This window comes from Homo sapiens, chromosome 3, assembly GCF_000001405.40.
Source record: "Homo sapiens chromosome 3, GRCh38.p14 Primary Assembly".
Classification (NCBI taxonomy): domain Eukaryota; kingdom Metazoa; phylum Chordata; class Mammalia; order Primates; family Hominidae; genus Homo; species Homo sapiens.
Genome location: NC_000003.12, coordinates 185,982,434 through 185,998,222, shown reverse-complemented (window position 1 = coordinate 185,998,222; position 15,789 = coordinate 185,982,434). Strand labels below are relative to the sequence as shown.

The following is a 15,789-nucleotide window of genomic DNA, read 5'->3' as shown; positions in this document are numbered from 1 at the left end:
GATTCAGGAGATCCAGGGTAGGGTCCAATAATTTGCATTTCTAACAATTTCCCTAGTGATGCAGACATTGCTAGTCTGGGGAGCATACTATGCAGTAGGATACTCACCCCAGGACTAATGTCTATTATCTTCCTCCTTTAACACTTGTCCATGGTCAATTAGTCCAAGAGTAGAGATAATTAAGCTAAAATGTACCATTCCAAATATATCATGCCCCTGGGCACACAGTTGGTCCAAAGGTCCAAAGCTCCCAGACCAATCAGAGCCCTTTCCCAAGATCTTTAAGAGCCGTTAAGATGTATGCATGGGGCTGGGCACAGTGACTCATGCCTATAATCCCAGCACTTTGGGAGGCCAAGGTAGGTGGATCACTTGAGGCCAGGAGTTCGAGACCAGCCTGGCCAACATGGCGAAACCCCATCTCTACTAAAAATACAAAAATTACCCTGTAATCCTAGCTACTTGGAAGGCTGAGACACAAGAATCACTTGAACCCAGGAAGCAGAAGTTGCAGTGAACCAAGATCAGGCCACTGCCCTCCAGCCTGGGTGACAGTGCAAGACTCTGTCTCAAAAAAAAAAAATATATATATATATATATATGCATGGAGCTGGCCACTTAAGAGCCTTTCTGTAGTGGAATGAAGCCAGCAGGTAGAAAGAAACTCAGATAAAATACAGAGCCCAAAGGTGTTTGTTTGAGCCTGTACCAATTTGGATTCTTTGAGATGAAAGTAGCAGATATTGAACTCAAACCATGAATAAAATGAAAATAAAATTCTAAGAAAATTAAATGCCTCACACAACCTGAGATAAGCTGGGCTCCAGGGCTGTCTAATACAGCCACTGAAGGACGTCACCAAAGACCTGGGTTTTTTCCCATCACTCTGCCCTTATATTTGGACATTATGATTGGTTTAGTCTAATCAGTGGGGTAGAACATTAACGGACATGTGAGAGTTAGACAGGCAAAGACAGTGAGTATAACCAACACAGCCCCAAGCTGTGTTACAGAATCATTCACAAAGATCTCCATAGAATCCAGAGACTGTCCTGGAAAATCTGTCGTTCACCTCTTCACTTGATCCTATGACTCCTCTAGTATCTTTCCTTTTATTCTCTCTGTCTCTCCACTTGCTTTGGGTTGCTGTTCATTGTCATCAGAGTCCCAATATCATAGTATACCTTGGAGTATCTCATTTTTTGCCACCAGTTTCCATTCACCCTTTAGTTAACCACAACCCTATTCTCCTTCCCAATCTTCAGCCCATGGCTTCAGCTGGGGTCCTATCCTTGGTTCAAAGATGGAGCATGTAACCTAGACCTAAGCTCATCAGCACATCATCTTCTCTCCCCAACCACTGCAATGTTTGGTTGAGAAATGAGCATATGGCCTGGTTACAGCTAGTGATGCATTATTAAGCTTTTGCCAATAATCCCAGGAAAGAAACTGGGAAAGCTATTCTGCCAGACCAATCAGAGCCAGTCAAAAATTCTCTATTTCCCATTAGATACGAGCCAGAGAGGTAGCGCAGTAGCTGCTAGGAATCACCTTGCAACCACAAGGGTAAATCCTGTCTGAGAACGGCAGCAACCCAGAAAGAGAAGACCTAGGTCCTGAGCCCCTAGCCCCTGTTGTGCCTTTTGATGCCTCTTTCTTTGCTTAAGTCATATGGAGGCAGAATTTTCAGCATGTACAAAGACAGGAGTTACAACTGAGAAGTCCTTTTCCCCATCTCTCTTGTGGCAATTAGATAGCATGCTTTTTGAAAGCAGAGACTAGATCTTGTCTGCAGTTGCATTTCTCCACAGTCGTATTGGTGCTCAGCACATAGTAGGTACTGAAGCAGAATTTCTTGGATGAGCTTGAGGCAGGCTCATCAGGCCCCAGAGCTGGGGTAGCTAGGAGAACCTTTGTCCCTTCCCTGGGCAGTTACCGATGCAAGGCCAGGACCCTTCCTCTGTGTCATCATCAGAGATGCATATAGTTTTTCGTAATGAAGGAAGTTCAGTGTGGGTTATCAATGAGTGTTACACTTGAAGATTCCAGTTGGACCTATAGAGACCAGGTTCACCCATCTAAATTCCCACACTCACCGAAAATAGGCCTTGAAATGCAGCAGTTCTCACAAGAGCTATTTATTTTGCAGCTGAGCAGAAGGCCTTTCTTATATGTTTTGCATAGGAGCTCAATATTAAACCCAAAGTCAAGGACCCCACGACTGCCATGCACCTTGTTTGCCAGACTCTGTCAGGATTCCCACATTCCAATAGATCTTCATTTCTGGCAGAGCCTGGGGCTTAGAGCAGAGAGAGAATTCCTGGAACAACTTGAGTTCCCTCCAAGACCAATGGACAATATCACATCCCTCCCCTTTGGGCTCTGGCCTAAGACTCCTGTAGCCCAATTTTAGGAGGCTAGGGGCCCTCTTGATTCCCAACATGTCTCTGACCCATCAGAAATGCTTGACATAGGGAAATTTACTTTCTAAGAACAAACTAGCCTGGAAGGGAGTGCTGGGGCTGTTCTTTCAGGGGAGAGATGTTTAACTGATTGTTTTTTGAGAGAGAGGTTCATGCTTTGTCCTTGGACAGCATTGCAGCATTGCAGAGCCCTGAGTTGCTTTAATTTTGACTCCGCTACCAAGAGGTGAGTCAGCTTAATGATATCAATGTAAGAACAGAGATGACGAAAGAAGAAGTGATTAACCTACAGCAGTCTTGCTGGTTAATATTAGAGCTGACCAATTCCTGAGGCCCTCTGTCTCCCAGTTCTGCAGATGCCGCTGTTAATAGGAGATCATCAGAATCTAGCTAAAAAGTATGCTAATCACATCACCCTAAGTTACTCTGGAGACATTTAGACCCTTCATAACCTAGACCCTTCCTCTCTCCAGCCCCATCTCTCATCATGATTCATCTCTCAAATAATATTCCAGTGATAACCTTTTTGGAGCTGATCATTTAAAGCAAGCTACATCCCTCCTCTATGCCTTTGTTTACACTGTTCCTTTGCCCAGATTGTCTTTCAACCTGTATCCTATTCCTATCTCTATTTATCCAAAACCCTCTCATCTTTCAAAGCCCAGCTCATATATCATCTTCTCTATCAATATCTCTATCTTTCTTCAACTGATCCCCTTCCCTATACCACCATAATCTTTCAGTTCTGAATGCTAATGGTAGCTTGAGGCTATATTGGTTATACTCACTGCCTTTGTCCATCGTAACTCCTGTACAACTTTAATATTCAGTTCAGTTTTCACCTCCTCCAAGAAACCTACCCTGTTGCTCCCAGGCTTAGCTGAGAACCCCATCAAGCTTCATGCCTTGTGTGTGTCTGTGTGTGTGTGTATCTTCCTCACTAAGCCGTAAGGACCTCCATGGCAGGGACAGAGTCACAATTATGCATATCTCTCCAGAACTTAACATAATGGGGATAACTCTTGGGAGCTTAATTGAGCCAAAAATCCTTGCCACTTGGGACATCTCCTCAGAGATGACATTTGCAGGGAGCAGTTACCTGTGGCCAACAAGGAGATGTTTACCCAGTACCCATTACCCAGTGCACTGCATTATTCTGGAGATTAAAGAAAGCAAGCCTGAGGCCGAGCATGGTGGCTCACGCTTGTAATCCCAGCATTTTGGGAGGCCGAGGCGGGTGGATCACCTGAGGTCAGGAGTTCGAGACCAGCCTGACCAATATGGTGAAACCCCGTCTCTACTAAAAATACAAAAATTAGCCAGGTATGGTGGTGCGCGCCTGTAATCCCAGCTACTCAGGAGGCTGAGGCAGAAGAATTGCTTGAACCAGGGAGGCGGAGGTTACAGTGAGCCGAGATTGCGCCACTGCACTCCAGCCTAGGCGACAGAGCCATACTTTCTCTCAAAAAAAAAAAGAAAAGAAAAAGAAAAGAAAAGAAAGCGAGCCTGGGCAACATGGTGAAACCCCTTCTTTACTAAAAGTAAATAAAATTAGCCAGCCAAGTGTGGTGGTGTGCGCCTGCGGTCCCAGCTACTCCAGAGGCTGAGGTGGGAGGATCGCTTGAGCCTGGGAGGTGGAGGTTGCAGTAAGCTGAGATTGCACCAATGTACTCCAGCCTGGGCAACAGAGAGAGACCCTGTCTCAAAAAAAAATAAAAAATAAAAATAAAGAAAGCAGAACCAGTCAGCCTAACACAGCCAAAGACTGAGTTTACTGCTGTGGTTTCTCCCTGGTATCAAGGGAGATTGTCCCATCTGCTTTCAAAAATTCAAATAAAGTAACAGACACTGAACAAGGCACTCGATGTGGTGTAGAAGACACATAATTATAAATAAGGCATTGTTCTGTCCCCAAGGTCCCCTCGTGGCAGACACAAAAGAGTGCAGTACACAAGTCCCATGGATGAGCTTGAGGCATCAGCTTTGCTTTGAAGAGTTAAGAGAAGCCTCACAGAAGAAGCGATATTTGACCTGGGTCCTCGAGGATGAGGAGGAATCTACTAGGCAAAGATGGGAACTAGGGGAGGACAATCTAGGCTGAGGGACCAGTCCGTGCAAAGGCTCACAGGCTGGCATGGACATGGCACGTCTGGGGGATGGCACATGTCTAGCTCGTAGGTGCCAGAGTCTTCGTGGAAGGTGAAGGAAGAAACGGGGGCAGAAGTGGAGCTTGGGACCTGCTTGTGGGGAGCCTTGAGCATTGTGTTAAAGATGAGGCTCTTATTTGACAAGCACTGGGGAGGCTTGAATGCTTCTAAGCATAAGAATAAAAACTGGCAGCAGTGCTCAGGACAGACAAGAGGGGCAAGAAGGCGTATCAGAGAGTATTGCTATAGTTGGTGAGAATGATAAGGATTAGGACAGAGTGCTGTGCTAGAGGAGAGGACGGCGCATGGCTTGAGAGATGTTGTGGGGGTGGAACCGCAAGGAGCCAAGCCTGTTCGGCATCCCGAATCCTTCCAGCACTACCCACATGGCCCCTATTCCCCCGCTCCCCAGCACATCCTTCTTCCCTCCTTGGCTGTTAAACCCTAAGGCAAGGAGATTCCAAATGCTGACTACATCTTCCTTGGCCCATCTCAGCTTTTGGCAAATAAATTGGTGCCATTCCCCAGAAAGCTTTTCTTGAACTTCATAAAGTTAGCAAAGAGGAGAAGTGTTAACAGTATGATCTGTTGAGTACCAAATTCTAATCCCAGCCCTAACACTAACCTAGCTTTTTCACTCCCTGAAATCCTGCCAAAATCAAAAGAGAAGGTCTGTGCCAGACACAAGTAATTTCAGCTGAACAAGCACTCCGAGGGTCACAGAGTGCTGTTTTGCTCGAAAAATGTTCTGCTGCTTCGGAACTGGCTTTGGGCTGCTGGTGGTGGCTCATGTGGATGACACAGTCAGAGGAGCATGGAAAGTATTTTTCTTTGGTAAACAAATATTTCAGTGTTGATGCTGAATTAAATCAGAAGCTCCAAGAATACAGGTGTCATTCATTTATTAACAGAATAGAAGAAGAGAGAAGGCATGATTCTGGACTGGCTCCTTCTAATGAGAACCAAAACTGATTCATCCCCAGCAGCTAGAGAAAAACCAAGCTTTGGGGAAGACAGGCAACACACATTCTTCAATGTCTATTATGCATCTAATTCTTTTAAAACACTATTGTTGGCGGGGCGCGGTGGCTTACGCCTGTAATCCCAGTACTTGGGAAGCTGAGGCGGGCGGATCTCTTGAGGCCAGGAGTTTGAGACCAGCCTGGCTAACATGGTGAAGCCTCGTGTCTACTAAAAATACAAAAATTAGTCAGGCATGGTGGCTCCTATCTGTAATCCCAGCTACTCAGGAGGCTGAGGCAAGGGAATCACTTGAACCCAGGAGGCAGAGGCTGCAGTGAGCCAAGATCGCACCATTGCACTCCAGTCTGGGCAACAGAGTGAGACTCTGTCTCAAAAAACAAAAAAATTCATTAAATTCCCAAAATGTTTCTATAAAGCAGCTGGTATTATGCCCATTGCCCAGATGATGAAGTTGAGGTATAGAAAGATAGTCCCATGCCCAGTGGAATGTGTAAGCAAACTTTGCTGTAGTGAAGTTCAGACTGTATAACAACATTCTTATTTTGAGAAGCCAGAGGAAAAAAATGATGTTGATTCCTGTAAATTTGTATGGGACTGCAGTTTTCCAAGCACACTCACATGCATTATTTTCACATCATACTCAGAATGGCTGTGTGAGGAGAATAGTAATATTCCCATTGCAGAGATGGAAGAATTGAGAGTCAGGGAGAAGAAAGGATTTGGCAGCCAGAAACAAGATTTGAACATCGAACTGAGTCCAGACCCAGTGCCTTTTCCATGGAAGAAGGCTCTGTTTTTATATGTAAATAAAACCTTCTATAGCGTTTGATAAGAAAGAGAAGGGCATTCTCAGGGGAGAGGGGATCAGGAGTAAAAAGGTCTTTGGGGAGAACTTAGGATGTATGATTTAGAGTCTGAGGTCCACACGGCCAGGTTACACTGATACACAATGGTGTCATCATCACATGCCAGCCTGGAAGCCATGCCACCTGGACTTGAACCCAGATTCTGCCTTTTAGCACTCATGCCTCGGTTTCCCCTTCTGTCAGTGGTGCTAATCATAGTACCTGTACCTCCTTCATAGAGAATGTTGTGAAGAGTTAACATAAGAAAAGTACTTAGAAGAGGGCCTGTTATTTAAGATAAATAAGCTTAATGAAGATGTGCTATTATTACTATCATTGTTACTACTACCTCTTCCACTAGAGGGTCCTGGGAATGAGGCTTGGTTGACAAGGAAGGCCTTAGAATCTCAGGTTACAAAGTTTGAACCCAAAGGAACAAAAGTAAGAGAAGGTCAATTTTAGTTGAAACAGGATAAAAGTGTTTAGGACAATGAAACCAGTAGGAGTGTGTAGGCCTCCCCAACACGTCTCTCCATCTGGATTACGGTCCCAGCTAAGGGCTTCCTCCATCATCACACTCACCCCAAGACACTGTAGTTGCCTGTCAATTACCTGCCTCCCCAGCTGGACCATGTCTGTGTTACGGGTGCATCTAGTGTCTAGCGCAGTGTCTGGCACTAAGTGCTCCACAGATGCTCTTCTGATGAATGAAGGAATAGATGAATGGAGTAGAATGATAGTTTAGAAAAGGAAGAGTCTATGGGGATACCAGCCCAGGGGCAGGCTCTGGGCTAGGATGAAGATAGAGGGAGTGAGAGAAAAGTAAGAAATGCAAGAGGCATTTGGAAGAAAGGACAAATAGGAATTTGTGAATGACAGACTATGGGAGTTAATGGGAAAGGAAGAGTCGTTGACTGCAAGCCTGGGCTCCTGGATGCTGGCAGTGGCCCTGTTAAAGATGAGAAGAAAGAAAGAAGTTGGTTTGAGGGAGGAGATTTGCCCTTGACTTTACCCTTGTTGAGCTTTATAGAAGTTACTGGTGGTAGCTCACGTCTGTAATCCCAGCACTTTGGGAGGCCGAGGTGGGTGGATCACTTGAGGTCAGGAGTTCAAGATCAGCCTGACCAACATGGTGAAATCCTGTCTTTACTGAAAATACAAAAATTAGCCATCTGTGGTGGTGGGCACCTACAATCCCAGCTACTTGGGAGGTTGAGACAGGAGAATCACTTGAACCCCGGAGGCAGAGGTTGCAGTGAGCTGAGATCACGCCATTGCACTCCAGCCTAGGCAACAGAGTGAGACTCTGTCTCAAAAAAAAAAAGTAGTGGGGGTAAATGGGGTAACACAGGGCAGCGTTGGGTGAGAGGTGTTGGCTGGAGATGGAGAGTTGAGGAGAACCGATTTGGTAACCTCAAGGAATACCTCTTTTTCTGGAAAAAGGGTAAGTACCAAGGTAGTAGTGGGCTGACCAGTCAGAACCTTGGAGGAGCCCTGGGGAAGACAGGCTGAAATAAAACACAAGCAAGAGGAGGGAATATTCACCAGGTGTCTTAAAAGAAGAAGGGCAGCTCTTAGCTCTTAGGACCACTTGCTCCCCTTTTCCTTTCTTCGTCAATCCACCCTTTGCCCAAGACTTGCCAATGGAAGAATTGAAACAGAAAGGAAGGCCATTTTATATCAGAAAGCCGATTTAGCTTAAAGTGAAGCATAAGAAGAAGAGCAAGCCATTTCGGGTTTTGTTGCTGTTGTTGTTGGTTTGTTCAGTTTCCTGGAACCATTTTATTATAATCATGGCTATCATGAACCCATAACTTCTCCTTTCTGAGTTTCTACAGGAAAGCTACCACTGCTGGGTTCTCAGGAGGACAAAAGCACAAGACCATTTCTGCACTTTTCTGCTTCCTGCTGGTAGGTGGGAAATCAGGGAACAGAAAACTAATGCTCATTCACACTATGGTACAATGGAAAGAAAATTGGCCTTGGAGTCGAATAATCTTAGGTATGCTCTGCAAGGAATGGGCTGACTCCGCACCTTTCTGGGCTGGTTCCCTCAAACACTGCTGATAATGATTCTGAACTCAGGAGATGGTTATGATGACTGGATAAAGGGGTTAAGTACCTTGCACAATGCAGATGCTCCAGGCACACCAGCTCCTGGTAATTCTTGCTGTTTCTCACAGGAACCTCACAGGCCTCTGCCATCTGCAAGCTTCAGACGAGCCACACAAGAGAGGCAAGCTAGGAGCTCATCCCCAAGGGAGCTTTCAGACTCATGGTTTCAAAGAATTTTCACTTTATTACACATTTGTTCAGGCTTCAGTCTGATTTGACTAAAATGTAAAGACAGGGCCGGGCACAGTGGCTCATGCCTGTAATCCCAACACTTTGGGAGGCCAAGGTGGGCAGATCACTTGAGTCCAGGAGTTCAAGACCAGCCTGGCCAACATGGCAAAACCCTGTCTCTACTGAAAGTACAAAAATTAACCAGGTGTAGTGGTGCATGCCTGTAATCCCAGCTACTCAGGAGGCTGAGGGAGGAGAATTGCTTGAACCTGGGAGGCGAGGTTGCAGTGAGCTGAGATTGTGCCACTGCACTCTGTTGCCTGAGCAACAGAGCGAGACTCTGTCCCAAAAAAATAAAATAAAATAACATGTAAAGACAACCTCACATATTTGGGGTGGCCAGGGCAGCCTGGCTTCCTAAGCTAATCACAATGTACGGGTTCAAGTTTAACCTCATCTCCAAACAAAATGTCTATTTCTTGCCAAAAGAAGGCTCAGAAAGACTAAACTGTCTACCTCATCAGTGGTGTACTCATTTGGAAGGGATCCAAGAGTGTTGGAGTCTGGGCCAGCCAAAAGCACCCCAGCCACTTTTGGAGAGAGCAGGCGGAAGTGAGGGCTCTGATTTTCATGTTAAATCCTCATTTGGCCTCGGAAATGTTAAAAATAAACTTTCACCTGCATCTGATTTTCCTCTTTGTTATTGCAGCCATTGTCTGTTTGAACAAAGAGGTAGCAAGAGCCTCTTTGAGCAGTTCATAGAGTTCAAGCCAGAGCCCAAATTGGAGGGACACAGATGTTAATGAACAAGAGGACCAGCAAGAGTGCCACTGGGAATTAAAAACTCCCCTAGGATTTTCAGGTCCCTGATGGCAGGCAGGGGAACTACAGACCCCATTTTTCTGTGCCAGCTGCCCCCACCTGGCTTTCAGAAGGACTTGGGAGCTGCATATGGATTTCCCCCTAAGCAACTTGATACTAAATTGAAATCTTGATGATTCAGCCCCCCATTACCCCAACTCTTCTCTCCTGTCTGCTTGTATTTTGGAGGCTCCATCAGATGTGGGTGGGATGGGGTTTCCAATAGGATAAGAAAGCACAAACTAGGCACTACAGAATGTGTTGTTGAATTTAGAGGCAGTGTGTCATTGTAGAAAGATCCTGGGTTTAACAGCTAGATAAATCTGGGTTCAACAGCTAGATAAATCTGGGTTCGAATTCATTACTTTTCAGCTGTGTGACCTTGGGCAAGTCACTCGACTCTCTGGGCCTCAGTTTACTTCTCCATAAAATGGGCATAAAAATACTGTACTGATTAAGGTGATGATAGCTGCTATAATAAACACACACCCTCAAAAATGTCAATTGCCTCTAATGTTATGGAAGTTTATTTTGTGTTCACATAAAATTGAAAACAGGTGCTCCTAATCTGTGAGCCGCTCTCCTCTAAGAGGGAATTTAGGTGGCTGGGCTCCACCAAAGTCATCAGCATGGACATCAGTCCAAAGGTGAGGGGAAGATGATGGAGGACTGTGGCAAGTGGAAGAGATTTATGCCAGGCCTAGAAGTGTCACACACCACTTCCACTCACATGCTAGTGTCTAGAACAGTCCTACAGCTGTAATTAATTTTTTAATTACAGTGTTTTTGTAATTGCAAAAAACGCTGAGAAATGAGGTCCAGCTGTGTACCAAAGAAGACAAGGAAACCAAGATTGGTAAACATCTAGCTAGTCTTTGCCACATACACCAACTTTTCAGGGAGATACTAAGCTTAAATAAAAGAGTGACTATGAGGCCAGGCGCAGTGGCTCATGCCTGTAATCCCAGCACTTTGGGAGGCTGACATGAGAGGATCCCTTGAGCCCAGGAGTTCGAGACCAGCCTGGGAAACATGGTAAAACCCTGCCACTGCTAAAAAATAATAAAAAAAATTAGCCGGGCATGGTGGTACATGCCTGTAGTCCCAGCTACTCGGGAGGCTGAGGCAAGAGGATCACTTGAGTCTGGGAGGTCAAGACTGCAGTGAGCTGTGATCATGCCACTGCACTCCATTGTGGATGACAAAAGAAGACCCTGTCTCCAAAATAAGTAAATAAATAAATAAAAATGATGACTATGAAACAGTACAGTTTTCAACAAATGTTGGTTACTTGCTTCTTTCTTTTCCCCATGGCCAAACATTTGCCAGAAGCAATGAGGGAATGCTTTATTTGTAATAACACAGATAGGAGTGAGGCCTGCTGACAAGCTCCTCAACCCCTTCACCCCACAGCCAACACCCACTACTTCTCTATAAAAGGGGCATAAAAATACTGTACTGATTAAGGTGATGATAGCTGCTATAATAACACCCAATAGTTCCCCACTGCCAAAGAGGAGGACCCTGGCATTCTGTGGGTGCTCCTTCCCCTCGTGATCAGGCCAGTCACTCACGATACCTACAGCTTCACCAAGTCCCAGCCCTTCCACAAAATCAGAGGGTTCAGGAATTAATCCTAAAGTCAGAAAACCACCATTTAGTAATAACTGACACAAGTTACATCTGGGGTTTTTTTGTTGTTTTTTTTGTTTGTATTTTTGTGACACAGTCTCGCTCTGTCGCCCAGGCTGGAGTACAGTAATGCGATCTCTGCTCACTGCAACCTCTGCCTCCCAGGTTCAAGCGATTCTCCTGCCTCAGCCTTCCAAGTAGCTGGAATTACAGGCATCCGCCACCACGCCTGGCTAATTTTTGTATTTTTAACAGAGACGGGGTTTCACCATGATGGCCAGGCTGGTTTGGAACTCCTGATCTCAAGTGATCCGCCCCCCTCGGCCTCCCAAAGTGCAGAGATTACAGGCGTGAGCCACTGCGCCCAGCCACAAGTTACATTTGACTGTCAATGTGTTTCTATTTAAATGTATTTGTATTGCCTTTAGGTGGGTCGCACGGTCTCCTGTCGGTACAGTCGCCACCACTCCCTTCTGTGCTACATCTGGCTTGTTTCCTTCATCTACCAGCCCGGCTCTTGGAAACCTTTGGGTTTGATCCCCCAAGACCTCCTGAGGGCTCTCTCGATTTCCACGCAGGGCTTCCACACTCAGCCCCGTGACCCCTGTCTTGCCCCCCGTTAGCCACGCAGATCCACGGCCTTGCCGGTAGCCTGAGGACACCGTGGCTCCGCATTCTCTTTCTGCACATGCGCGAATGTTGAGCCCGCCCTCCGCCAAGCACTGCCTTGTCCTCACCCCAGTGTTAGTTTCGTTATTCTCTTGTGTGTGCATCTGGGAGACAGGATTAACAAGCAATATCCTATGGAAAGTTGTGGTTTCACAGCATATGGGTAGATGGGTTTCACCAACTTTTAGAGTTGATCTTTATACAGTGTTGCACATTAGCATTTATACATTGTTTCTAAGGAGAATATGTCCAAATTCCAAACAACTGAATTCTGAATGAATCTGATGACCGAATCCTTTTATAACTTGAGAACTCTGCCCTTGTGTGGTCTTGATGGGACTTCAGAGCTGCAAGCGTCCCTTGGTTGGGAGGGAGGATCGAAGTTCTAGTGTGTGGTGAAAAGCTCATGGACTTTGGAAACATACAGACTTAGATTTAAATCCTGACTCCTAATAACTGTGACTTTGAGCACGTTACCTAAACTCTGTGAAGTATGTTTCTTTATCTATAAAATGAGAAGATAATCTTTCTTAGAGTGTCGATATAAGATTCAATGAAAGTGTATACCTTCATCTCTTAGAGTGGCTAGGACGTAGTAAACACTCATAAATAATTATTATATTTGTTATAAGGAAGACAGGACAATCGATAAATAATATTTGTTAAATTTTTAAAATAACTCTTGCTTATGTAAAAGTTCAACATAAAAGTAACAATTTTTTTTTTTTTTTTTGAGACTGAATCTTGTTCTATCGCCCAGGCTGGAGTGCAGTGGCGCAATCTCGGCTCACTGCAACCTATGCCATCCAGGCTCAAGCGATTCTCGTGCCTCAGCCTCCCTAGTAGCTGGGACTACAGGCACGCATTGCCACACCCGGCTAATTTTTGTATTTTTAGTAGAGATGGGGTTTCACCATGTTGGCAAGGCTGGTCTCGAGCTCCTGACCTCAAGTGATCCGCCCGCCTCAGCCTCCCAAAGTGCTGTGATTACAGGCATGAGCCACTGCACCCGGCCAAAACTAACAATTTTTATTATGGAAAACTAGGGGAAAGAAGAAACTTAAAATAAGGAAAATAGAAATCAACCAAAATTTTACTTCAATGAAAACATTTATTAACATTTTGGCATATTTTTCCTTCCAATGTTTTACTATGTATATGTAGTTTACACAATTGGGATTAGGCTAGATATAATGCTGGATATAATCCAATATTTTTCACTTAAAACATAATTTTTCTCAGTAAAAATTCGTCACAAATGCTAGTTCTAAAGAATTTACAGTTTAAAGGAATTTTTAAACTTCAATAATTTAATTATCCATTTCTTAAATGCTGAACATTTTGCTTACTTCTATATTTTTGCTCTCATGAAAAAATACTTTCATATAAAATCCTCAAAATTATATTTTTATCTATATTTGTGTTTATTTACTTAAGATGGTTTCTTAGGAGTTTTGCCAAGTAAAGGGTGTGTACATTTTTAATCCTCTTGCAACACTCAGCGGGGCAGCCCGTCAGAAATGCTATAGCAGCCAAGGTGCAGTGGCTCGCGTCTGTAGTCCCAGCACTTTGGGAGGACGAGGCAGGCGGATCATGAAGTCAGGAGTTCAAGACCAGCCTGGCCACCATGGTGAAACCCCGTCTCTACTAAAAATACAAAAATTAGCCAGACGTGGTGGCGGGGCGCCTGTAATCCCAGCTACTCAGGAAGCTGAGGCAGGAGAATCACTTGAACCGGGAGGCGGAGGTTGCAGTGAGCCGAGATCGCGCCACTGCACTCCAGCCTGGGTGACAGAGCAAGACTCTATCTCAAAAAAAAAAGAAAAGAAAGAGAGAGAAAGAGAAGAAAGAAAGAGAGAGAGAGAGAGAAGAAAGAAAGAAAGAAAAAAAAGAGAGAGAGGGAGGGAGGAAGGAAGGAAGGAAGGAAGGAAGGAAGGAAGGAAGGAAGGAAGGAAGGAAGGAAGGAGAAAGAAATGCTATAGCAACTTCTACTCGAGATGGTTTAAAATTCATGTTATTGCCTTCCTGCTCACTCCTATGAGGAGTCCAAGTCAGGACTACATTGCCAGAGTGTTCTGCTCTGTTACTTGGGAGAATGGACAGTGCCTGAGGGCCGTTCAATACGCACTTCCTAACAGTGCCCCAGTTTCCTTTTAGTGAATTGTCTCTGCCCCTTGTGTAGTCTTGATGGGATTTCAGAGTTGCAAAGGTCCCTTGGGTTGGGGAGAGGATGACAAGCAGTGTGGCCAGCGGAGAAGCCAGCAGCAGGAGCACCAGCATCCAGCAAGGCTCGGCCCCGGCTGCCAGGCGGAGAAAGGGCAGGCCCTGTGCTCTGCACTCCTGGAGCAGGGTCTGAGACCCCTCTATGCAGAAGGCTCACCCTTAGCCTGAGGGCCTTCCTCTGCATGGGGCGAGCCAGTGCTGGAGTCTTTGGATAATCCCTTGGTCCTCCCTTTCCTTCCCTTAATCTCAAATCCGGCACGGAGAAGGCACTTCACCCCAGAGAAGGTGACCAGCGCATGTCTGTCGAAATGGCCACGGAGGGTAACCGACAAGGCTTTAAGATGCGCCGTATAACTATCTCCTTTGGCTTTATTCCCCAAAAAAGCCCGGGGAAAAAATCACCTGGGATGAGGCTGGAGCGATCCTTTCTTATGCTGGACTCATACTGCCATCTAGTGGTGGGAGAAGGAAGCTGGGAAGGGACGGGACACCGGGCAGCGGGCGGTTAGAGCAAGATGAACCTGCAGTCCAGGAGGCCAAGGTCAGGCGACACTGGGAACCGCCCAGGGGGCACTTCAGAATTTTGGGAGGCATATGAAGGAGGCAAGGGGAGGAATTATGCTCAACAATAATTATAGCTGTTTTTTTGCCGGGCGCCGTGGCTCATGCCTGTAATTCCAACACTTTGGGAAGCCGAGGAGGGCAGATCACCTAAGGTCAGTAGTTCGAGACCAGCCTGACCAACATGGAGAAACCCTGTCTCCACCAAAAATACAAAATTAGCTGGGCGTGGCAGCGCGCGCCTGCAATCCCAGCTATTCGGGAGGCTGAGACAAGAGAGAATCGCTTGAACCCGGGAGGCGGAGGTTGCAGTGAGCCAAGATTGCACCATTGCACTCCAGCCTGGACAACAAGAGCCTCTGTCTCAAAAAAAAAAAAAAAAAAAAAAAAAAAAGAGAGAGAGAGAGAGAGAGAAGAGAGAATAATTACAGCTGTTTCTTGAGCACTTACTACCTGGCAAAGACTATACAAAGTGCCTCTCATGCTTTCAATCTTTCAGTCCCCCCAGCAGTCCCCAGTGAGGATGGGGAGACCAAGCCTAGAAATCAAGTAACTTGACCAAGTTCACACAACTTGTCAGTGGCAGAGGCAATCAAATCCAGGATTATCTGACTTTGTAGCTTGAATTTCTAGGGTCATTTCTGGAATCACGGAGAGAGATCTTCTGCATCCTTTCTATTCCATCGCCCACACCCCCAACCCTAATCTACTCCTGGACAACAAAGGGTGCTCTTGTTCACTGAGATGCACGGCCCTATTTCCACCTTCTGTGCCTCTCTTGGGTCCCCAAGTCTCTACCTGAACAACTGCAAAGGGAATCCTTTCCCTCCTTTGGCCTGGAGACTGTTGGGCAGGACTGGGAGAGGATAGTGGGTGGAATCTTTTGTCCACTGTCAACAAATATTAAAATGTCTCAGACTAGTTGGAAGTTATTTTCCCTTCTTTGTTATGTGAGATTGAGGTCCCTAAAGTGCACAGTCTCATTTCAGATCAGCCACTGCAAAGTTTGGTTCTAAATCCTGGAAGGACTTCTCATGCTTTCCAGGAACAATTGTTGGGACTGATCCATGACAGCCCTGGCCTGTCTCAGTCTTCTTTTTTTTCTTTTCTTTCTTCCTTTTTTTTTTTTAAGAGATGAGGAAGTCCGGGCATCGTGGC

General features: G+C 45.6%; 1 annotated feature.

Moving 5' to 3' along the window:
- Positions 14,158–14,679: an enhancer, noted in NCBI's record as "H3K4me1 hESC enhancer chr3:185701333-185701854 (GRCh37/hg19 assembly coordinates)". NCBI's record gives its function as "activates a minimal SCP1, AML or CMV promoter by ChIP-STARR-seq in primed H9 embryonic stem cells {active_cell/tissue: H9 hESC(primed)}" and the evidence as "EXISTENCE:reporter gene assay evidence [ECO:0000049][PMID:30033119]".